Source organism: Homo sapiens, chromosome 1 (assembly GCF_000001405.40).
Source record: "Homo sapiens chromosome 1, GRCh38.p14 Primary Assembly".
Classification (NCBI taxonomy): Eukaryota; Metazoa; Chordata; class Mammalia; order Primates; family Hominidae; genus Homo; species Homo sapiens.
The window spans coordinates 217,030,293-217,055,500 of record NC_000001.11 but is presented as its reverse complement, the minus strand read 5'-3'; the positions used below and the strand labels follow the sequence as shown (position 1 = coordinate 217,055,500).

The following is a 25,208-nucleotide window of genomic DNA, read 5'->3' as shown; positions in this document are numbered from 1 at the left end:
ATATAAAGTGCATACTGTTTGCAAGTGGTTGCAGTTTTTTTCCTGCCCAACCTGCCACTGGACTGTAGGAAAGTGAATATCTTGTGCAGCTCACTGCCACTGGACTGTTTCTGTATATAAGGTGGTTCTCCTGTACAGCCAGCCACCACTGGACTCTCTCCCCTCTATAATTCCCTAATGAAACCCCACATCTTGTTTATTGGCTCTGAGTCTCTTCTTCTACCCCTTGAACCTCATGCTTTCCCTTTGAGGTTAATAGGGGTTCAGCACAACACCTCACCAGAAAGGCCTTGCCTATTGTCTAAGGATTCTAAACCTCATCATGCATGAAAAAAAGGGCTATTGGTGGTTTGTAAGCAAGACACTGACATAATTAGATTTGTGTTTTTGAAAGTTTGTTCTAGCCCCTAACTGTTACCAGCAATGTCCCTTAAATTGCAGAAGAAACCTATTCTGAACTTTTCTTGATCGCACACCTAGTCATCTAAACCCAGGAAAAACTGAATTCACCTCTGCCTGTGCCCATCTAAATCATGCTTACTTGGTAGGCCCCCATTAATGTGCTACAATCACAACCAGAGTCTGCAGTGAGTTCTATAAATTCAGACTGGAAATGTAATTTCAGATCTCACAGGGCCTGTGTTGTTTCAGTGATATTATAATCAATGACCGTAGCTTCCTTTGAAGCTCATAAAGTGACCTCTTTTGACATTGATTTCTCATCTGTGTTTTTTTTTTGACCTTTCTTCACCTCCTATGTCTCTTCATTTGCTAAGGCGTAGTATTTTATTGCCAGGCACCTGTATAATAACCACAGTAGCCATACATTTAGGTTTTTTCAGGTCATTACAACCTAAATAGACACAGTTGTGGCAAGATCTAGTCCCAGGAACTGGTGTTGCAACCTCCTCGAAGGGAGACTGTTTTTCTTCCATTAGAAGATACTGAAATATGCTGTTAAGTAGTCTTTGCTTAGACTAACATCTAGGAAGATTGTCACACATATTTTGTCCTTTCTTTTGAGTCGACCCTCAAATTGAGAAAATCTCAGAAAATGATCCCTATACCAAACCTCACGTGGACATTTCCAAGACGTTTCTGAGTTTTGGTATTAATAAAAGCCCATATGAGGTTAAATAGGAAGGCAAATAAAATGTGCCTCTTACTTGGAGAAGTGTGTGGTTTCTTGAGCATTTATGCTCCCCCCCAGTATGACCTTTAGAAGAAAGTATGATCAATAGCCTATTGGATCATCTCTAATCTGGCTGTCAAGTACAGGAGGGGGAAGTTGAGAGATTTTGATGAAAAACAACTGAAATGGCTAAGTGCAAACTTAGTAGAAAAATACCCATGTTTTGTCAATAGTTTCCAGAAACTTCCTAAGCACCTGATGTACAATGGGCTTTTTTCATTGTGGGCATCTGCTGTCTTTGCCTAGCTCAACATTCCAGTGAGGCTTTTTTTTTTTTTCAGAGCTCAAAACCAAACATGTCAGCAGTAAGCAGCCACCCAGCTTTGTAAAGAACGCCACGGCTGACAACTTCACAGCTGCTGAGGAATTGGCTGAGACTTTCTTGTAAAGTAGTACCATACACAAGAGCCTTTGTGCCATTGGGACCCACCATGGAGTTTCCAAATGCCCTTACTCCTAGAAAAATGTGCCAACCCCTTCTTCCCATGTTGCCCCCATGTCTGGTGATAATAACCATGACGATAGCCAGCCCTTTGGTGGCTGGCAAAAGAACACAAAGGGACTCTTCTTCTGCACTATCAGGGTAAAAAACAAAACAACTACCACATTTTAGAAACCAGGCCAATAATTTATTTGTCATGCCATGCAAATTATTTGGAACACAAGAACTCATTTTGGTAACATGCAATTTTTTGTATTAATATTTATTCTTGAATAATCTATGGACATCTAATGACTAAAACACAAATGACATAATTTTTCTACAGCATTTTGAGATTTTGTTTTTGCAACCCCATTACAGCAGGCATTTCTTTCTTTCTTTCTTTCTTTCTTTCTTTCTTTTTTTTGGCTTTGGGACAGAATCTCACTCTGTTGCCCAGGCTGGAGTGCAGTGGCGCAATCTCGGCTCACTGCAACCTCTATCTCCTAGGTTCAAGCGATTCTCCTGCCTCAGCCCCCTGAGCAGCTGGGATTACAGGCACCTACTACTATGCCTGGCTAATTTTTGTATTTTTAGTAGAAACGGGGTTTCACCATGTTGGCCAGGCTGGTCTCGAACTCCTGACCTTAAGTGATCTATCTGCCTCAGCCTCACAGAGTTCTGGGATTACAGGCATGAGCCACCCTGCCCAGCCTTTTCTTTTTTTCTTTCTGTTTTTTTTTTTTTTTTTTTTAAGATGGGATTTTGCTATGTTACCTCAGCTGGTATCAAACTTCTAGGCTCAAGCAATCCTTCCACCTCAGCCTCCCAGCTGGGATTACAGGTGTACAACATTGTGCCTGGTAAAGGATATGCAATTTTGATATAACCAAGGAAGAATGAATGAAGGAAGTTGAAAGCAAGGTACCTCTGGATCTCCATGTCCATCTTTAGGAGGTCTATTTATTTTCATCAAAGCTCCCATGATATGTAAAGCCCTTTTAGTGATCAAGCGTGACTAGTCCATGGACTCTGGCTGGAAGATGCAAGATTTCTTAACCAGCTGCCCCAGACTGCCTCGGAGAAACCACTTAAGGAATGCCCTGCTGTTGTTAATGATCAACATTAGCCAGATTGCAGTCCTCATTATCCCTCACCCCAATAGGAAGGTAGAAGCTATCCTCTTCTAAAAATGCTTATTTAGTTATTGACTAGCAGTTGTCCCTTTGGAAGTCTAGCAATGTTCAGTCAAGTCAAGGGAAACCTTTGGTTCTTTTGAAGAACTCTTGGATATTCTGTCAAAGATGTTATTAAATTCCTGGTTCTGAACACCTAGGTCTCTCTTAGATCCTTTTAGAAAGATGGGGAGTGAGACAGAGTAACATTCTAACCTGAATGTAATATGTGGTTACTACTCAAGCTGTAACAAATAATTCACGTGGAGTGATTTACAGATGGAGATTCTTTTGATGTTGATGCGTTTAGTCACTATGAAACCTGCCCCAGCATCTGCTTCAGGCTTGCCCAAAGTGCCTTTGGATATGTGGAGATCATTTTCTGCACCAAATCTTAAAGTTGATCTGTTTTGAATCATCTCAGTTCATTCTCTGGCACTTCTGCTGAAGTTGCAGTGACACTTTCTTCATAGTTTTAAAATTCAGTCTAAAAATCCAAGGTGTAATTCCATTTTGCATTCTTAGTATGTCTTCCTCTACATCTTGAAATCATTCTGATCGAGTACTTTATCCAAAGTGATTTCTATGCTCTTGCCATTCTTATTTTCACAGAACCTTTCTGTATTTTATAAATGGGAAATAGGCTGAGTGTAGTGGCTCGTGCCTGTAATCTGGGCAACTTAGCAGGCTGAGGTGGGAGGATTGCTTGAGCCCAGGAGTTTGAGGTCAGCCTGGGGAACATAGCAAGACCCTGTCTCTAAAATAAATAAATAAATAAATAATTATCTGGGTGTGGTGGTGTGAGCCTGTGGTTTCCAACTACTCAGGAGGCTGAGGGGGGAGGATTGCTTGAGCCCAGGAGTTAGAGGCTGCAGTGAGCTATGATTGTGCTACTGCACTCCAGCCAGGCCAACAAAGTGAGACCCTGTCTTTAAAAAAAGGAGTATGGGGATGGGAGGGCAGAATAGGACTCCAGATGGGATAAGTTGTTTTGCATATGGCCATTCATCTGTTTAAAAGCATGGTCAGGCCATAACCCAGGTATCTTGTCTCTCGGGCCAACTCCTATTCCATATGGCTCATTTCTCTCTCACCTCTTAATACAGAAAATGGAGCAGTGATTGTTTCTGAAACATAAGTAAAGGATGGCCCATGCCAGTGGGGTGCATTGACTCATCATCATTGCCCTTTTAATTGGAGGCTCCAGCAGATGCAAAGTTATTTGGATGTTGCAGTAACAGCAAAAATAATGTTGGCTTCCTCTCAGTTTTTGCCTGGAGAAGCCCAAGAAGCCTGTTTCTTATAATTAGAAGGTGCGTGTGAACCTGAACAGTAGGACAGAGTCAGTCATTGTAAGCGTTAACTGATTCACCTTTTAGAAGTGACAAGTGAAGAATCAGCCTAAGGTTGCCTGGAGCTTTCTTCAGGATAATACCTAAAGGGAAACCCTCTTAGGTTCAAGCCAAGAATGACCCAGTCTTACAATTCCCCTGGCACCCCCCCCCCCCGCCCCCATTATCCACTCCTTCTGCTCTTATCTCAGAACCACCTGAGGACACGTAACTGCTGACTTCAGCCTTCTGGCCAGTACTAGGCCTTAGATCCTGGATATGAAATAAGAAGGAAAAAAGTCTTTCACAAAACCTTTCTTCCCGATTTCTTTTTTCCCTTTGTCAGTCTATGTGCATGCCTTAAAAAAGATTCCTCTTTCCACCTTGGAGTCTGTTCTGTTCACTGAGTCCTTCCCACACCTGGCTATTTCTAACCTGAATGGCCAAAGCAATGTTCCTTGACCAGAGCAGTCATCTAAAACAGCACTATTTTTATCATTTGGAGCCCTAGAAAGGTCTTCTAATAGCCCGTACTGACATTCAAGCCCAGGTAACACAGTGAGCTGGGCTATGACTGTCCCCAGACTTACTATTAGCTTTGTGATTCATTTATTTTGGTGAGAGTCTATCTGCTGTGACCATTTGTAAACAAAAACATTGAGGAAAAGGCAGTGGCTAAGAGAACAGAGATGTGGTCCACATCTCGGTTTGGGTAGAGGATGGCCCGAGCTTTCTCATTCTACCCTGGAAATTTTGCTCTGTCAATCATAACATCATTCTGAGAGTATTGGCTATTGGAGATTGCCATTTTGTCAATTGATCCCCAGTCACCTGCCTCTCTGTGTAGTTTCTTATGAACAGGAGGAGAGGCTTGGCTTCTCCACCAATAACCTCCAGGTAAGTCTTCACTCACGTGCAGAATGCCTGGCTCCTCTTGTTCAAACTTCAGTTGTCCCCAAATGACCTAAGACCTCAGATGATAAAGCTGCACAGGTTATGTGGTCTATCCCATCTAATAGAAAATAATGTAGTTTTTCTGGAGAAGGGCTATATTTTATCAAGATCTTTCTCATGTGTAACCTAATTTTTGTTGGACTGCGTCTCATTTTACTACTTCAGCAACTTCTCTGGGCCAAAGAATCCATTCATTAAGCTGTGTTGCCAGAAGTTCTTTTTCACCCCCCCAGCTCAAATATCTTGGCACATCACTGTAGATGATCCTTGAGGTCCAGGTCAGAGGATCACATAGGTAAGATTGCCTTCTAATAAGGTTCTTTGACATCTCAGTTATTAAATTCCCTTGAATGGGATTCAAACACATCTGACTTACAGTGACGTTTGCTCCTTGTGGATAATGCCATAAATCTTCTGTTGTGAAGTGTTCTCATACTTCTGCTCTTGTTCATAGATGTACTTATTTTGCTTATGCAGAATGATGGCATCTGTGTCTCAGAGCTAAGCCCTTTCCATCCAGTCTTCCCAAATGGGAGCAGAGAAGACCAGCTGCTTTCACTTCACTTTCTGCCCCATTCTGGATCACTTTCTTTTCTTGTGGCCTCTTTCTTCTGGCTGCCAGAAAAGCTGCTGTTGACTTCTCACGAATGACACTGGCTGATCTCCCTGGATTGGAACCAATTCTAATGCAGCCTGTGGTGCTTGGAGCTCAGGCCGCAACCATGGGCCAAGGAATTGGGTGGAGGACCTTGCCCAGTGGAGAGATCATGAGTGCCCTACACAGGGCAAGTTCCTACACTCACCTCTAGATCTTCTTGACAGTACCAATGGACACACAAGTTATTCTTTTTTCTTCTCTTCTCTGCTATATGACTGCCTTAGCACCTTCTCAAAACAAATTCAACAGTTTCTCCCCTTGATAGGCATAGTATATCTTCTCTTTTCCAAGAAGCTTTACTACTTTTAGTTATGCTTTGGTCTTCAAAGAGACATGATTCTTGGTCCTGTGAATCTCATAAGTCAGCAATTACCAAATGATTTCTTGCAGATAGCAATTCAGTGAGATGGAGAAAATTGTACCCCAGGCAAATAGGTTTAGGAGACTGTGCCGGCTTCATTCTCCTTCTTGGAGATTCACAGTAGCATAGTAAAGGCTCTGAGAATTCCTACACTCAGAAAATTAGTTTGCATAACCAAGAATTTTTCAGAGATGAAAATCCTGGTCAGGAAAGGCTTATCTAAGAAAGAAATAGCTGAGTTCCAACCTGAATGATGAATAGAATTTGGAGTGAGGGAGGAGCTTTGGAGATAGCATTTTGTGTTGAGAGAATGTTAGCTCAAGAAACTGAGGAGACCATGATGACCAGGGCCCTGGAGTGACAGAGGAGCTAGGCAAGGCAGGAGGTGGTCATGGAGAGGAAAGGAGTGCCTGATTATGAAGGGCTTGTTAGCCACAGTGAGGATTTTGATCACTATCCAATGGGCAAAGGAAGACATGGGAAGGGTTTTCACAACCTGTACTGTATAATTCAATGTTCATTTTCAAAACCCACTGTGGCTACAAGTTGAGAGCAGATAGAGTGGGGCCAGGGTATGTTGCAGAGTTGAAAATTTACTCACACTATGCTCAGACATGTAAAGAAAATGTTGAAGTCTTCATTTTCTCTGGCTACTCTGATTTTCCTCGTAAGTTCTGACTCCAGTGGGTAACAGGGAAATACATCATATCCTAGTCTCTCCAGATACATTTAGTCTCCTTTCCTTTAAAATGGCTCATTTCAGGGAACTTCTGAGTCAAGAGTTATCTACCCAGTTGGGATGCAAGAGCTTCTTGTGCCTGTGGCATTGGTGGAAGGGGGCCTGGTTTCTGCATAGGAGTGTTTGAGTGACTTCTGGGTCCTCACTGCTGCCCTCTGCAGGAATAGCACCCTCGTTGTTGGCCTGGTCATGCAGCCCTGCCTCCATTTGCAGTTGAACTCTGTAGCTGCTGAACTCAATGTCTGTTCTATTTCAGCTAGATTGGGGCCTGGCAGTCCCCTCTGCTGCCTCGTTGCACCTGAGCTCTCTCTGACACTATTGCATCATGGCTGTCTGAAGTCTGACTCCGTGTTCCATCTGGAATCCAACAGAATACCCTCTACTCTCCACCTCCCAGCCCAAGCCCTCTGTGGCCTCTCTAACCAGTACCGTCAGCGACTGCCCTTGTCCCTCCACTGAGCACACAGGACCTCCTAGATCCTGCTGTACTACCTTGAAGCCAAAGAGACAACTGGGAAGCTACCCTTACACTTACTCTCTGCTAACTTGTGTTTCCCTTCACCTCTACTCTGGGCTCCTCTAGTTAGGGAGGACCCTGAAAGACAGACTCAAATAGGAAGGAGAGAAAGACTCTTTAGATGCCCACCTGATCCAGCACTTCAGAGAAGTGAGCTACTACACATATTTCTTGGTCTGCTACAGCTACCTCTGTCCATCTTCTTCTTCTTCCCCGATACCGTGGTCTGGAAATGTGGGCTACTTCTTTTCTCTAGTTCCATTGCATATTCTCTCTCCCTTGGCCTATAGTCAAACACACAATCTGGTATAAAAGCCAAAGCACTTAACTATGGGATTTAGAATTCCTTTTCTCTCTTTGTACAAAGCCTGGCTTTTGAGGCTTCTGTCTAGCTACAGAGATCAAGCAAGTCAGCTTTGAGACTCAAAGCTGAAAAATTTCTTCTTTCTTCTTGGTCATTCCCATCTGCTTCCCCCATTGGAACAATGATCATCATGGCCTAGCTGTGAAAATGGATAGGTGCAACAGAATATGATTTAATGTATCTATTTATTATTTCCAAAATATTCTCCCTACTAAAAATAGAAACAAGGTCTCCTCAGAAAGATATTCGTAGCTTGGACTTGAGTGATGACAATGGGGATGGAGGGAAATTAATGGATTAGAAAAATATCTAGAAGGTGGGATTGACAGTATTTGGTGCTTAATTAGATGAGGTGAATTGACTGAATGTGAGAGTCCGAGGTTTCTGGGTTTCATGGATGGATGACAGTGCCATTTACCAAGATGCAAAACACTGGAAAAAGAATTGGTTGGGAGGATTAGCCCAGTTTTGGACATGCCAAATTTGAGGTTCCTATGAGACATCCAAGTGGACATATTTAGTAATCAGTAGGATATACAGATTTATGGCTCAAAAACGATACTTCTTTAGGAAATCACATTATAATCATAAAGTTGGTAGATGGGTATTAAATTAGAAGATGGTAACTAGATTATTCAAATGATAAGTAGTTTGATACAACCACTTCATGGTAGGCACAGGCTTACCATCGAGACCAGATGTTATGTAAGTATATTGATTAGTACTCCTTCTCCCATGGCATATCCCATGGCTGATCATGCTGCCTCCCTTTTTGAGTAACACATCCTTCACTTACATATGTTAATATATTCAATCAGCTTACAACAAATCTTACCAACTAAGGAATAATTTTGTCTCTTTCCAATGATGTTGCATATCTTCCATTCCCCCCCCTTTTTTTTTATGAGACAGGATCTCACCACTGTTGCTCAAGCTGAGTGCCTGTGGCATAATTATGGCTCATTGCAGCCTAAAATTCCTTGGCATAAGCAATTCTCCCGCCTCAGCCTCCTGAGTAGTTGGGACTACAGGTGCATACCACCACACCTGGCTAATTTTTGATCATTTGTAGAGATGGGGTCTCACTATGTTGCCCAGGCTGGTCTCGAACTCCTGGACTCAAGAGATCCTCCTGCACTGGCCTCCTGAAGTGTTGGGATTACAGGCCTGAGCCACCATATCTCCATTCTTATCCCATTCTGTGTGATTCTTAAGATTTTCCTCTCAAAAATCAACTTTATTATTACTTTATGCCCCAAATACTTGCAAAATTCTTGATGAGAGATGAAGCTATAAATGTAGGTAGGAGCTAAATAATTAGAAGATTCTTGAATGTTATCTGAAGGTGGGTAATGGAAAGCCATCAAAGGGTTTTAGGCTAAAGAGTCAGTAAACTAATTTAGGTGTACTTGGCTAACATGTCTTTCTTGATGCAGTGCTAGCAGGTGGATTCATTTGGTCAATCCAACACCTATTTCTTGATCATCTCTTTTGTATAAGATACTGTGCTAGGTGCTATAGGGATATAAAATTAAAAGTTAGGAAGTATCTCCTGGTATTATGCTAGTATCCATCAGGGGTATAAGTAGAAAAAGTTAGCACTAATTTTAGGTTTTTTTTTTTTTGAAAGGAATGTGCAGCTTAGGCTCTCAGTGGTTCCTGACATAATTCCTTTTATTGGCGACATGCCTTAACTCTTTTGGGTCACAGTGAGCTGCACGGACATTATGTTTTTTAGCACTGGAAATGCCAACCTACTTGCTCTTATTGTGTTCCTCTTGTCATTTAGCAGAATTATTATTTTCTTCTGCTCCCAAATGGAAAGGCATCTCAATCTATACTAACTATATACTTTGATTTTATTTTTAAATACTTAAAAAATCCTAAAGAAGCAAACACTCCAAAGATTTTTTTGTGAAAATTACATATTTCAAAAGAAACATAGCAGCAAAGGACAGTGTGCCTCTGAGGGAAAGCGCCCAAGGGAGGCTTTCAGGGTTGGATTTTAACATCTCTGACCGGTTGGGTGAAAATTGTTTTGAAGATGTATTACATTCCCTGATCAAATGAAAAAAAAACGACAACTGCCGTCGTATCTAGGAAAAGCCCGGTTAACATGGCCAAGAGCCACACGTGCTATCCCACATGGCCTTGCTGTGCAAACCTTCCAATATCCCATCCTTGGAAACTGGGGCAACCTCGTGCCTCCTCACAAAGACCAGCCATCTCAGGAGATCAGGGAAAGCTCGAGACTTCTCATCATTTTCCTTTGGGAGGTCCCAAGGGTAGTTAATGGGTTTACTCTAGCAGGTCCCCCCTTTTCTCCCACTTTTAATACCCGAGTCAACTCTGCAGATCCTTTCACTTTGAATATATGAGTCTGGAGATTTTGTGGGGAGACTGTTATGTTAGAAGTTTCTCTTGGATTCACTTCTGGGTTGTGTCAATGGTTTCCTGGTTCCTGAACTTCCTTTGACCTGGTCTTATGGGGTTTTTGTCGTTTACAATCCCGCAAGGGTTAATTTTTTTTTGCTGCTTTTAGGGGTTGATGAGAATCCTCCTATATTAATGTGGTTTTTGAAATGACAAATCTCTACATGCACAAAGAGTGCCTTGGATAGTTTTGCATTTGCAAATAAAGCCCTAACAAATGCTCATTTAAAAAAATATATTTCCCCAGCTGAGCACATTAAGGCTATATGCTGCATCTTTGTATTCACTTCAATAAACCAGGTGTGCTTCTGGAGATTAGCTATTTTTTATAAAGAATGATTTTAAAATAAATGACAATGGGCTCATTTCTCTTTATGCTGAGGATAACATTAAAGGAAAACTGCCGTGATTAGTTTTAATATCTCAGATAGCTTAATGAGTACTTACTAAAAATGTGAGTGTGTTTGTGTGTGTCTGTGTGTGAGTGCACAAGCATAGAAGGTAGATATATGTGTACACGTGTGCCTGAATAATTTTCTAACATCTTAAGTAATACCTGTCAGGGATTTTAATAACCAAGTGCCAGTGAATTATTCTGGTGGCTGTTTTTGCTGAAGCTTTCGGCAGGAAGTCCATTTTCCTGCAGAGCTGGTTTTTTTCTTAAAAAGTGCCAGTCAGAAAATATGAAAATGGACTCAGACTTTATGTGTCATTTATAGTCAATGATTGTGTCCCTCTTTCTAAGTTATCTGGAGCTGCAATTGCCCTTTAGTCTCACTGGTAAGCTGAGATGGAGGTCAGCATAGGGAGTGAAGGTGTACAGATTAGGTTTGGAATAGTTAGTATGTGAATTACGTTAGGAACCAACAAGAGATGAATTAAAGATTTCCAGGAATGGGTCACATTAATTTAATTTAATATAGAAGAAACTTGCAATGGGATACAATTGTCATTACATGAATCTTTTTAGTACAGCCCTGTAGTTAATGAACACAGTGAGTGTGTACAGATGGCAGGAGGGTCCCCATGGTTGAGAAAATTAGGGAGGCAGGAGAGCCCAAGGTATTAGGGAGGCTAATGTGCAGTGGCTAGTCACAGAGGCCAATCTGGGCAAGGACTTCCATGTAGCCAAAAGGGAGGGTGGTCAGTGGACAGAATGTCAGAATGATCTATTGTACATCCTATGGAGGAAGAAGACGTGCCTTGAGCTTCTGCATTTCAAAGTCTGCTACCTACTTCAGTAAACTTGAAAGCCAATTATTGCCTTATTCAATAATTGACTGGGTCTTGAGATTGAGGGTACAATAGTAAAATGATCCACACTTTTTTTTTCTATTTTTATTTGCCTTTGGCTATATTATTCCTATCGGTTTCTTTTCTAAAAATTGGAGAAAGGTAAAGTTAAAATCTGGCAGTTTTTTTTTTCTTTTCTTCAGAGCTCTGGGTAGTGGTATTAGGGAAGGGATGAGACTGAAGCTGTTGCTAATATGTAGTGAGTTAGTATTAAGGAGGGACCATTATCTATATTTTCTGTAATCCCAGATAACTGACATTTAGCTCTCTATTTTGAGTTCTTAGTTTTTGACTTGTTCCTGTATGGGCACAATCTATATAAAGAACATTAACACTTTTTTTTAGTAATATGACTCAAATTGTTGTTTATATATGTTTTTAAGAGCCAGGATTGGGGTGCAAAAAAATCCCCATTATTCTTTGCCTCTTATCCTGAGAAGTTGGCTCAATGTAAGAGCAATGAAAATAAGTACAAAAGTAGCTAAATTTAAAATTCTGGTTAAGATGATGGCTCTTTAATGAAAGTACTAAGGAATGGTATTGTAAGACCAAAAAGGGCCAACAATGACGTGTTTCATTTTAGGAAATATAACTGAGAATTTTGGTTAATTAGAGATAAGTTGTGCACTATTCATTTATTATTGATAGGCTTTGAAAATGACACAAACTTTTCAGGTTGAGTCTGGCAATTTTATATTGTTTGTGTAAATGGGAGAGAAAAGCTTCCTCTTTGTAACTGAACCCAGCTTCCTTCTTTCCATTTATGGAAAGCATCTTTGAGGCCCAATTTAGCTGCAGTTGGTGAGGGCAGCTTACTTTGCTGGGTCTAGGATTGGAATGTGGTGTGATAGCCCTACAGATGTATGAAGTTTGTCTTCTTTGCTGAGTTTCTTGATGGATGTCAAGACTTGAGCATCTATACAGAGGTTATTATTAAGTCTTTGTGTGTGTGTTTGTGAATGCCAAGTAATGCTTAATGTTTGGCGTTAAATTTGCACTGGAGCTGGAAGCAAAAGGAAAAATAGGAATTTATGAGAATGCATTTTAACATGTTTGAGGTTATAAAGGGAGATATCAGGCCACCGAGTAAAGAGGTGTCATTAATGTCCTGTCCCAGAGAAGACAGTATCATACTATGACAATGGATGAGAATCATGGCTTTCTTCACTAGGAACTAGGAAGCATACCTCATGGCACAGTGGAAATGCTGACAATTAGCAGTTCCCTGGCTGTGTCACCAGAGTTCACCACTCCTTGCCAAATCAGAGCTTACTGGCTGCTTTATTTAAATAGACCCTTTTGGAGAGCTTTTTAATTTTTTTTTTTAAAGTGAACAGATTGGGTTTCTAATTTTAGCTCGGACTGTTTATAATTAGAATTAGAAACATCTTCAAAGTTCCTTGTTTACAAACACTTATACCGATACTGTTTGCACGTTTAGAATGGGCCTGTGGGGCAAGGGCAGGGGGGAGTGTGGGGAGCTAGGGACAGGTAGCGGAATTCCTCTGTGTGTTCTCTTACTGCTGCAGGATGTCAGAGCACATGCAGTGTGTGTGTGTGTGTGTGTGTGTGTGTGTGTGTGTGTGTGTTTGTGTGTGTATGTGTGTGTGCATTTTTTCCTTTACTTTCCTCCTAGGTGAGTGCTTCAAGCTGAAACAGCCAACACTCTGTGCCTGAGTCACACTGCAGTGCTCTCCATTCTTGGGAATCAAAGAAATTGGTGGTCAGTTGTTATTTGGGACAAGGTTAGATTTGAAATGCCACCCTAGTGGGAAATTTTAGTGACTCATTTTTAGCAACTCAGGATCTGCATTGGATAAAATGCTTTCTCTATTTCCATAATTTCTATATTTATATGTCATTCAGCATACTGTATAGCTGAGTGATTCAAGAAAAACAAATAGAGCTATCCATAATATAAATAATTCTACATTTTATCAAAGCAGAAATACGTATCTATGGTTAGAGCAAGCCCACCTATTAGAGTGATGGGTTCTTTCAAACTGAAATGGAATGCTATCAGGGACCATCAAAAGATGACAGCAGCACAGCCAAATGACAGAGCCCTCACATGGTACTCATGGGTTTCAGATGATACATGCCAGAATGATGTGAACCTACTGGGTGCATTGCTTTGAATATAACCCTACTGGTTTCTTGGGATAAGCATACTTATTCCCTTCAAAGAATCTAAAAAGATATTGCATGCCAAAGCAAGATTTAAAATAAAAAATAAAATTAGAACACATACTCACAGACCAATATCTAATTCTAATTAAAGTGATGATTCTGTAGGAAACTAAGCAGGTGTGGGCTTTAGCTGTGACACTTGAATCTGCCAGCTGGTAGGGTGACAGTCAGATGCCTGTTTACTCTCTGATATCCAAGACCACTTTAATGTTCCAGGGAGGAAACAATAAACAAAAACCATATATACTGGGCTTGTTGTGGTGACTGATTTTTCCAGAGAAGCAAAAGATGGAAAATGTACTCCTTAAATCTAACTTGGGCATAGCTAGCTTCTTTACTGTCATACATGGCATCAATTAGATTAAATGACTATTTTAAGTCTCTACTGAACCTATTTTTTTTAAAAAACTATGTAGTATTATTTGTGGATGGATATATACATATGTGTGTGAGTGTGTTTATAGACATTCTTTCAACTCTTAAAATGTACTACCTTTATACCAACTTGCTATGAATGTTTAAAGGATTTAATGCATTTGCTGTCTTGTATCAGAAGAATGATAGGGGATTAGATGAGGAAAAAGGGCTTTTGGCACAGCTTGCAGGCTGTTATTTTCACCAACTGTGGTGTCAGCTATGATCTTTTTACAGTGTTTCTGACTATGGGGCCTCTTAGCTAGAGATCCCTGGGTCTCTGTGATTTCGTGTTTTTTTATGAAAAAGATGAGAATATTTTTTCATGCTTAGTTTAAAATTCTCTACACCCACTCTGTGGAGAATTTTAAACTAAGATTGGGGAGCAGGAAAGGAACTGAACTAAATGTAAAAGATTATCTGAGCTGTTGAGGGTTCCCAATGTAAAAAAGGAGTAACTGAATATATTATAGGGCAATGGGATATATTGCCAGAAACTGCAAATCAAACTCAGAATTCCCTGTGTTGATGTAATTGATCTGGTATGTATTTCCTTTAGGTCCAGGAAATTTCTGGCCCTCCATCTGTGTTGAGTGGAGTAGTAGGCCAAATAGTATCTACTGAGGTCCACTGTGCAGCTAGCATAAGTACAAAGAGTAGGATTTGGAGACAAATTGGTTTGGTTTGAGTCTCAACCCAAATTTTTGCTAATAGTGTGTTATTGGGCAAATTACTGAACCTCCTTAATTCAGTTTTCTCATAATCAAAACAAATAAGCTCACAGGATTTTTGGAAGTGTAAAGGTGTACTAGCAATGTGAAGATATTTCACAGGATAGGAAAAAAATTTTAATAGAAAAATCTTGAAATATTTCAAAACTAAAACAGTCATCAGCATAAAAAAAGTTTTTGATTGCTAACTTATTGCTGAAAAAGCTTAACTAAAGCAATAGCTTTACTTACTATATCCTGAAGTAACAAAATGAATAGTTTGAAGAGAATTATGAAATTCTAGTCCAAGGGCAGGTGATGTAGAAAAAAAGGGGGATATTTTTCTCTCTGTGGAGGCTGGGTTCAAGGCATCCTCTTAATTGCCTTCTTCATTGGACTGTAGACAGGGAGACAAGGCAATGACTTCCTTAACTTTCTCAGCAAAGCCACAGAAGAGACAGAATTTGAACTCACCAGCCTAGTGACTTTTTTCTTCCATGACCAGTCCAAATACCTATTTTCTTACCGTCTAAATAACCCATTTTGCAACCACCAGCCTGAAATTTCAAAAAAATGTATAGCAACATAGTTCTTATGAACCAGAAGATTTAAGAACATGAGGGCAATTAGGGATGTTGTGTGAGATATCACTGCGTTAAAATAATTTAGCCATTGTTGCCATTCCTCACCTTACACACACTCTCTGTCTCATTCTCACCCTGCTCTTGTGTGTGGTGTGTGTTCATGTGTGTGTAGGAGAGGGGTGTTTATCTTTATTTCCATATGTTTCCATGGAGCCTAACCTACAAACCTTAAGACAGAGTGGATGCAGTTATGTTGATTACTTTGTGACTGTGTATAGAATACTACAATTTGGGAAGCACTGGGATGGGGTGGAAAAAACAAAAGCCAGTCTTCAAATTGTAGGAGGATGAACAGAACATAATGAGATACAAACAATTTGAAAACATATCAAAAGGTTGTAAAAACAAATACAAATAATTGGTAGGGTAAAGCCTTAATTTAAGTGCTTTAAAGGAAACTTATAATGGATTTAGTGAATGAAGTGGTTTGGCCCTGCGTACTCACCCAAATCTTATCTTGTGGCTCCCATGGTTCCCACATATTATGGGAAGGAGCTAGTGGGAGATGACTGAATCATGGGGGCAGGTCTTTCCCTTGCTGTTCTTGTGATAGTGAGTGGGTCTCACGAGAGCTGATGGTTTTGAAAATGGGAGTTTCTCTGCACAAGCTCTTTCTTTGCCTGCTGCCATCCACATAAGATGTGACTTGCTCCTCCTTGCCTTATGCCATGATTGTGAGGCCTCCACACTTACATGTGGAACTGTAAGTCTAATAAACCTCTTTGTTTTGTAAATTGCCCAGTCTCGGGTACATATTTATCAGCAGCATGAAAACGCACTAATACAGTAAAATGGTACCAGGAGTGGGGTGTTGCTGAAAATATACCTGAAAATGTGGAAGAGACTTTGGAACTGGGTAACACACAGAGGTTGGAACAGTTTGGAGGGCTCAGAGGAAGACAGGAAAATGTGGGAAAGTTTGGAACTTCCTGGAGACTTGTTGAATGGTTTTGACAAAAATGCTGATGGTGATATCAACAATAAGGTCCAGGCTGAGGTGGTCTCAGATGGAAATGAGGAACTCAATGCGAACTGGAGCAAACGTGACTCTTTTTCTGTTTTAGCAAAGAGACTGGCAACATTTTGTCCCTGCCCTAGAGATTTGTGGAACTTTGAACTTGAGAGAGATCATTTAGGATATTTGGCAGAAGACATTTCTAAGCAGCAAAGCATTCAAGAGGTGACTTACTTGCTGTTAAAGGCATTCGGTTTTAAAAGGGAAATGGAGGATAAAAGTTCAGAAAATTTGCAGCCTGACAATGTGATAGAAAGGAAAATCCCATTTTCTGGGGGAGAAACTTAAGCCAGCTGTAGAAATTTGCATAAGTAACAAGGAACTGAATGTTAATCCCCAGGACAATGGGGAAAATGTCTCCAGTGCAGGTCAGAGGTCTTCATGGCAGCCCCTCCCATCACAGGTCCAGAGTCCTGGAAAGAAAAGATGGCTTCCTGGCCTGAGCCTAGGGAACCCCCTGCTCTATGCAGCCTAGGGACTTGGTACCCTGTGTTCCAGCTGCTCCAGCCCTGGCTAAAAGGGACCAAGGTACAGCTTGGGCTGTTGCTTCAAAGGGTGGAAACCCCAAACCTTGGCAGGTTCCATGAGGATTACAATTTGAGATGAGATTTGGGTGGGGACACAGAGCCAAACCATATCACTGTCATTTCACAATCCATCTATCCTGGGATAGAGTGATCATGGAATTCAAGATAGAGTCACAGTTTAACTGTAAGGAGCTAATGGTGTTGAGACTGTGGGTGCACAAAAGTCAAGAATTGAGGTTTGAGAACCTCCCCCTAGATTTCATAGGAGGTATGGAAACACCTGGATGCCCAGGCAGAAGTTTGCTGCAGGGGCAGGGCCCTCACGGAGAACCTCTGCTAGGGCAATGACAAAGGAAAATGTGGGATTGGAGGCCCCACACAGAGTCCCTTCTGGGGCACTGCCTAGTGGAGCGGTGAGAAGAGGGCCACCATCCTCCAGGCCTCAGAATAGTGGATACACCAACAGCTTGTACCTTGCACCTGGAAAAGCCAGAGACACTCAATGCCAGCCTGTGAAAGCAGCCTGGAGGGAGGCTGTACCCTGCAAAGCCATAGGGGCAGAGCTGCCCAAGACTATGAGAACCCCCCTTTTGCATCAGCATGACCTGGATGTGAGACAGGGAGTCAAAGGAGATCATTTTGGAGCTTTAAGATTTGACTGCCCCACTGGATTTCGGACTTGCATGGGGCCTGTTGCTCCTTCGTTTTGGCCAATTTCTCCCATTTGGAATGGCTGTATTTACCCAATGCCTGTACCCCTATTGTATCTAGGAAGTAACTAATTTGTTTTTGATTTTACAGGCTCTTGGTGGAAGGGACTTGCTTTGTCTCAGATAAGACTTTGGACTGTGGACTTTTGAGTTAATGCTGAAATGAGTTGAGACTTTGGGGGACCATTGGGATGGCGTGATTGGTTTTGAAATGTGAAGATAGGAGATTTGGGAGGGGCTGGGGTGGAATAATGTGACTTGGCTGTGTCCCCACCCAAATCTCATCTTGTGGCTCCCATGGTTCCCATGTGAGAGGGACTCAGTAGGAGATGATTGAATCATGGGTTTGGGTCTTTCCCGTGCTGTTCTTCTGACGGCGAGTGGGTCTCATGTGATCTGATGGTTTTGAAAATGAGAGTTTCTCTGCACAAGCTCTTTCTTTGCTGCCATCCACGTAAGATGTGACTTGCTCCTCCTTGCCCTCCACCATAATTGTGAAACCTCCCCTGCCATGTGGAACTGTAAGTCCATAAACCTCTTTGTTTTATAAATTGCCCAGTTTCCAGTATGTCTTTCATCAGCAGCATAAAAACAGACTAATACAGTGAAATAAGAAAAAATATGAAACATTTGGAGTAGTGCAAATAGTCTTCTCTTAAACAAAGGAGGGAAGGGATAAATATCTACCTTATCTTGGTATTAGAGAGGAATCTCAGATCAGGGGTAAAAAGGAAAACTGAATATTTGTTATCAGGGAGCAGGATCAGGCTCCCTGAGACACTTGTCAGTCCTTTACCATTTGTGCAGAACAAACTCAGCCTTGTGGTCCACAGGAAGCAGCTTGGAAGTGATTCCTCTGGCCTGGGAAGAGAGATTCTTCTCTAGTGGTCATCTCCCAACTCGGGCATGACTGAGGAGAGCTAAAAAGGAATGAGGTCAGTACCAGCTTGAGGGAAGTGTCACGCTGCTGACTGATTGGCTGGTTTCCATCGCCTATACTCTTTTTTTTTTCTTTTCTTTCTTTTCTTTTTTTTTACTTTTAAGTTCAGGGGTACAAGTACAAGTTTGTTACATAGGTAAAATTGTGTCATGGAGGTTTGTTGTACAAATTGTTTCATCACCCAGGTATTAAGTCTAGTATTCATTAGTTACTTTTCCTGGTCCTTTTCCTCCTCCCAACCTCCACCCTCCAATAGGCCCCAGTGTGTGTTGTTCTCCTCTATGTGTCCATGTGTTCTAATCATTTAGCTCCCACTTGTAAGTGAGAGTATGCAGCATTTGCTTTTCTGTTCCTGCATTAGTTTGCTAAGGAGAATGGCTGCCAGCTCCATCCATGTTTTTGCAAAGGACATGATCTTGGACCTTTTTATGGCTGCATAGTGTTCCATGATGTATATGTACCACAATTTTCTTTATGCAGTCTACCATTGATGGGCATTTAGGTTGATTCCATGTCTTTGCTATGGTGAATGGTGCTGCAATGAACATACACATGAATGTATCTTTATAAATAGAACAATATATATTCCTTTGGGTATATACCAAGTAATGGGATTGCTGGGTCAAATAGTATTTTTGTCTTTAGGACTTTGAGAAATCACCACACTGTCTTCCACAATGGCTGAACTAATTTACACTCTTACCAACAGTGTATAAGCATTTCCTTTTCTCCACAGCCTCACTAGCATCTGTTATTTTTTGACTTTTTAATAATACCCATTCTGACTGGCTTGAGATAATAGTATCCCATTGTGGCTCTGATTTGCATTTTTCTAATCAGTGAAGTTGAGCTTTTCTTCCTATGATTGTTGGCTGCATATATGTCTTCTTTTGAGAAATGTCTGTTCATGTCCTTTGTCCATTTTTTAAATTAGGTTGGTTTTTTCTTCTTGTAAATTTGTTTAAGTTTCTTACATATGCTGAATATTAGACCTTTGTTGAATGCATAATCTGCAAAAATTTTCTCTCATTCTGTAAGTTGTCTGTTTACTCTGTTGATAGTTTCTATTGCCACATCATCCATACTCTTATTAATGGGGAAGGACACTGGGCAGAGGCATAGATATGACTTGGGCTAATAATGGAATCCTAAGTCTCCTTAAAACTCTGACAAGTTATTTATACTTCCTTTGGAATGGTTCTGCCTCCAGCTCCTGATTTTTTTTTTTTTTTCACGGAATCCCTAGAGTTTTTACTTTATTAAAGTTTTTGACTTTTGTATTAAACCAAAACATCCTATTAAATATCGCAGGGCCTAGTAACTTTTTTTCTGTTTATAGCTCACTTCTGTGGCCAGACACATTTGGAAAGGGCTGGATTTGTGGAGAAGATTGTCTAGGGGAGAAAACTGTCTGAAATTTAGTAAAAAAATAGGCCTCCTTTGACACTGGCAATATTGAGTAACCTTGGTCTCATTCCTCAATTTCTGAGATCTTATGTACCCACTAGGACTAGCAGTAACAACAACAGCTATTCTTTACTGAGACACCACATTGGTACTTGGCTCACCACTTTTTTTTTTTTTTTTTTTTTTGAGACAGAGTCTCGCTAGGCTGCCCAGGCTGGTCTCGAACTCCTGGCCTCAAGTGAGCCTCCTACCTCTACCTCCCAAAGCACTGGGATTTCAGGTGTGAGCCACTGCACCAGGCTTCTCAGCACTTTTTATACATCATCTGTTTAATTCTCACATCAATCCTGATGAGGTAGATATTATTACTCCTACTTCAACAATGATGAAACTCAGGCCAAGTCCTGTAAGGAAATCTGGCCAAGGTCACACCACTAATCCACTAAGATGTGAACTCTGGACTAGCCTGCTCTATCTTGTTCTCCATCAGCAAGGGGGATTTGACATTTAATTAGAAGTCTTTTTTAAAGCCTTGTTAAAAATAAAGTAACATATAGATACCTAGAAGGCGTTATTTTCCATGTTTTTCCATGCAATGCAGGAAATCCTGGGTCTTGACCCTCTAATTTACGGTGTAATATTTCATTATGGATTACTTGCCCACAATTTGTCTGTGTTATTACAATTATCATTAGGCACAGAATGTACCTGGTGTTACGTATGGTGCACTGCAGCCTGGTCCCTGTCCTCCTGGACCTCTGAACAGGATGCAAGAGGAGCAGGAGCGTGGACCAACGCTGCCCTACCTGCTCCCATGCTTTGGGTTTGCTCCTATCTTTGCTTATCTGTATTAAAAAGATTTTACAGGACAAAGTTGGCTTTTGTCTCATGGGAAGCAGTGATTGCCCTAGTGGTTTAGATGTCAGTACCCTGTGCTTAATTGTTTTGTGGCCAGAGTGAAGCTTGCTGCAGAAGGCCAGGTCCGCCAGTGGTTCTCAGAACTACACTGAATTGGGAAGAAAATCCTCCGGGCCTATCCGAGCTAGACCCAGGAGTGGCAGCATTTCAGACAGACCATCGGGGACCAAAAATTTTCAAAAGAACGTGTCTCAAACTGTCAAACTCTAACAGTTGTCAGAATACCTTGCTTGAAATAAGTGCAGCCTAAAAATGTGGCTATATGGGTACGAAAGATATTTACCATTTTTATTTATGTAGAAGCCAAAGAGATCCCTTTCTACAGCAAGCCGTTTTATCCCTGGATGCTTTAAAATGTAATTCAAGTTGCAAAATCTCATAGACATTATTATTTTCAGTAAATGCCTATTAAATTATAGATTATTGAGGATCTATTATATGTAAATAACTGTTTTGTAGGTCCTATTGTATAAAATCAAGCCATAGCTAGATGAAAGAACTTGTCTGGCTCTTCAGAATGATACTAACATTCAGGATGATTGTTGTTTATAGTGAAGGGCAGTCAAAAATCAAGCCAGTTCTAGATGTTCAGATAAGCACAGTGTTTCAGAAACTGAGCTCTGGAGATGGAGGCCTCGGCTCCAATCTCACTGCCATTCCCTAGTAACTGCATAGCTTTAACGAACGTATTTAAACTCTTTAAGTATGGAGTTCACATCTGTGAAATAACAGTGTTTCCTTCCTCATAAGCTTACTATGAACATTAAATAAGACCCTATATGAACTGCCTACTCCAAAGAACCCACTCAAGCTACTTAGCTATTATTATTCACAGCAGAGGGTTACTAGGTCAAATTAAGCTAACTGGTAACTATGCCTCTTAATTACTTGAAAGTAAGGTATTTGGATTTCTATGGCTTTTTGAAAACAGCTTTATTGAGATATAATGTACATGCCATACATCTCTCCCTTTTAAAGAATACAATTTCATGGCTTCTAGTATATTCAGAGTTGTATAACCATCACCACAATCTGATTTTAGAATATTTCACATCTTTTTTGGGCTTAATAAATTAATGTCTTAAAAAAAAGACATCCAAACATTAATCATTTACAAAATCTCCAAAGCGTGACTTTGACATAAAAGGAGTTCAGAAGTTAGGAGGGAGAATTTCAATAATGTGGAGGAACCCAAAATATCTTCAATATTCAGAGGCCATCTCTACTGTATGAACTCACAGGGGTGGAGAGGCATCAGTGATAGTTAAGGTAGGAAATGGCCTCTGAGATTTGTGAGTTTAGCATAGGTGGAACTGGGTACTGCACAAAAAGGGGACAGGTGCTTCTGCAAAGAGGAGAAGGGCTAGGACACAGCAGAACTTTTTGTCTTTCAGTGTCTTCCCTCTGTCCTGGGCATCGGCCACTACATTTCCCTTAGCAAACTCCACTCTGGGCAAAGCCCTTGCTGAGGACTTGACACAGCACTCAGCCATTGCTAATGAGGTTTCAGGGGTGACTTTCTAATATAAATAAAGGATTATAGGTGCACCCCCTTTTAATCTCCCCCTCCCCTTCCATAAGCCTTAGTCATGGGTTGCTGCAGGCACGTGGCCACAGGGGACGGTCTGTGCCGAAGGCTATCAGTGGAGATAGCTATTTAAGAGGTTTTACTTTTACATGTGAGCAGCCAAATTGTGCATGTAACAATGGGGACCAATTATTGCACAATAGAGCATCCCTGATGAAACATAGAGAGTGTGTGTTTAATATGCAATGAATGACACCATCTTTTCCCAAACAATGAGAATATTTTCATAGCATTTGGGAGATGGAGAATTCCATTCTTGAAGTTTCAATTGTTTGTGAAACTGATATGTACTATCATTTCATCCACAGTTTTCAAAACAATCACCCCCAAATAATGAAACAAATAATAAAATATCTCCATTAGGTTTATATGTACAGAATATATAACTTTTTTAGGTTTGAAGTACCATTTGTATAATTTTTTCTTTAGAAGCTGGATCATGTTGAGTTCTACGTTATCTCCAGTTCAAGCAGTTACAACATTGAACAATTTAAAACACTTTAAAAAATCCATCTTATGGACAATTGTTGTCTAGTCATCCTGTATTGACCATCAATCTTGAATTGTGAATCCTCAATTGACTCAAAGTTCTTTGAGTCTATTGTTTTATCCTCCACTAGAAGTAACTGGGAAGAATGCACTATCTACTCAGTATATTTTTACAGAGGAAAAAGTGAGGCCCAGAAATGGTTAGGGATCTGATCCAAAATCATAAAATGAAAGAACTGAATGGTCAGTGGAGAACTTACTGAAAATTTAATTTTCAGTAGTTAAAAGGCAAGGAAAGTAGAAAAGGCAAAAATTCAACAGGTAGCTTGTTAAAGAAGGTATTTCTATTTTAAAAAATGTGATTAGTATTGCATTCTTTATATAACATAGTACCATATTTTTAATTGGTCAGATTTGAAGTGACCAACTCATTCTGGTTTGCCCAGGACAGTCCTGAATTTAGCACCTTAGCAAGGGGAAAATTCCACATTCACAGAAAGCTCTTGATCCTGGCAAACTGGGGCAGTCGGTGGATTAGTCTGTTCTCATGCTGCTATAAAGAGCTGCTGAAGACTGAGTAATTTATAAAGAAAAGAGTTTTAATTGAATCACATTTCCACAGGGCTTGGGGGGCTTCAGGAAACTTCCAATCATGGTGGAAAGGGAAACAAACACATCCTTCTTCACATGGCATCAGGAAGGAGAAGAATGATAGCTGAGCAAAGCGGGAAGCCCCTAATGAAACCATCAGATCTCCTGAGAACTTATCATCGTGAGAATGGCATGGGGGAAACTGTGATTCAGTTATCTCCCACTGGCTCCCTCCCACCACATGTGGGGATTATGAGAACTACAATTCAAAATGAGATTTGGGTGGGGACACAGCCAAACCATATCTGTTGGTCTCTGTAAATGTGTCCCCCCAAAATATGCTACAAAATTAGATTAAAGTTGTCATATGTTTCTCCCTTGGCTGAGTTTCTTCATGCTAAACCATTTTCTCTTAAGAAGAAAGCTGAAAGCTGTAAGGTTGAAATGTGTGTAAGCATTGCTGCTACTCTAGTTAGACAAGGAAAAAGTAAGCATTGAGTGTGGACTCTCCTTTCCTTCTCTTTCTGCGATTCTCCTCTTATTCTCTCCCAACACCTTTAGGACAATGGTGGGAATATGAAGATTGGTAGGGGAATTCTCTCTCAGTGCATGTTTTCTGGCACTGTGTTGAAGACTTGGGTATTACTGTAGTACCCGAACTCTGGAAGGAGAGGTGTGAGCAGTGGTTGGCAAGCTGCTTTTGTAAAGGGCGAGATAGTAAATATTTCAGACTTCACTGGTCACACATGGTTTCTACAACATAGTTTTTTTTAAAATAACTCTTAGAAAATGTAAAAACTATTTTTAGCTTTCAGGATATATCAAAACAGACCATTGACTAGATTTGGCCTGCAAGCCATAGTTTGCCAAACTCTCCTTTAGAGCATGGCTGTGCAACAGAAATACAATGTGAGCCACATTTTTAATTTTAAATTTTCCAGCAGCTTCATTTTAAAAAGTAAAAATAAACAGGTAACTTTAATTTTAAGTCTCATGCTCTACTGACTGAGCCAGCTGGGCACTGGTGATTTTAAAAATGCATTCTGTTTATCCTAAATATTAGCATTTCAATGTAACTAATACAAAAATTATGAATAAGATATTTTTGCACTTTGGAGGTACTCTCTGAAATCCAGACTGGCCACATTTCATGTGCTCAATAGTCACTGCATGTGGCCAGTGGCCACCACATTGGACAACACAACCCTGGAACATGTTTATAATGTAAAATTTGACAAATGCTCAGCCCATCTCCTTTAGTTTATTGACATATCAGTGAGCAAAGAAAAAAATAACAATGAAGACCTTAGAACTGGGAGAAGGCTTAGAGATCTTGTCTAACACTTTATTTTGTAAATGAGGAAGCTGGGGATCAGAAAGGCTAAGCGGTATGCTCAAGGTCACACAGCTAGGCTAGCAGCAGACCTCATACTATAACTCAGATTTCTAGACCTGCCAGTGGCCTTCCCACCACACTGTGAAGTTTTTCATAGTTAAACCTAAAAGGTAAAGTGGGATTAATGATTTTCTACCTGGGAGTCATAGGAAAATGGTTGAGTTTCGGGTAATGGTGGTCTGTTTATCCCATGCGTGGCTCAGTGTCTGGTTCTACTTATGGTCTGCTGCA

At 40.6% G+C, this 25,208-nt stretch overlaps 1 protein-coding gene across 37 annotated transcripts in view, besides 1 other annotated feature; it reads left to right on the top strand.

Moving 5' to 3' along the window:
- ESRRG (estrogen related receptor gamma) overlaps positions 1 to 25,208 on the top strand; it is a 634,457-nt gene that overhangs the window by 82,202 nt on the left and 527,047 nt on the right. The window lies entirely within an intron of this gene.
- Positions 6,840 to 7,134: an enhancer, noted in NCBI's record as "tiled region #1545; HepG2 Activating non-DNase unmatched - State 13:Ctcf". NCBI's record gives its function as "activates a minimal TATA promoter and a strong SV40 promoter by Sharpr-MPRA in HepG2 cells {active_cell/tissue: HepG2}" and the evidence as "EXISTENCE:reporter gene assay evidence [ECO:0000049][PMID:27701403]".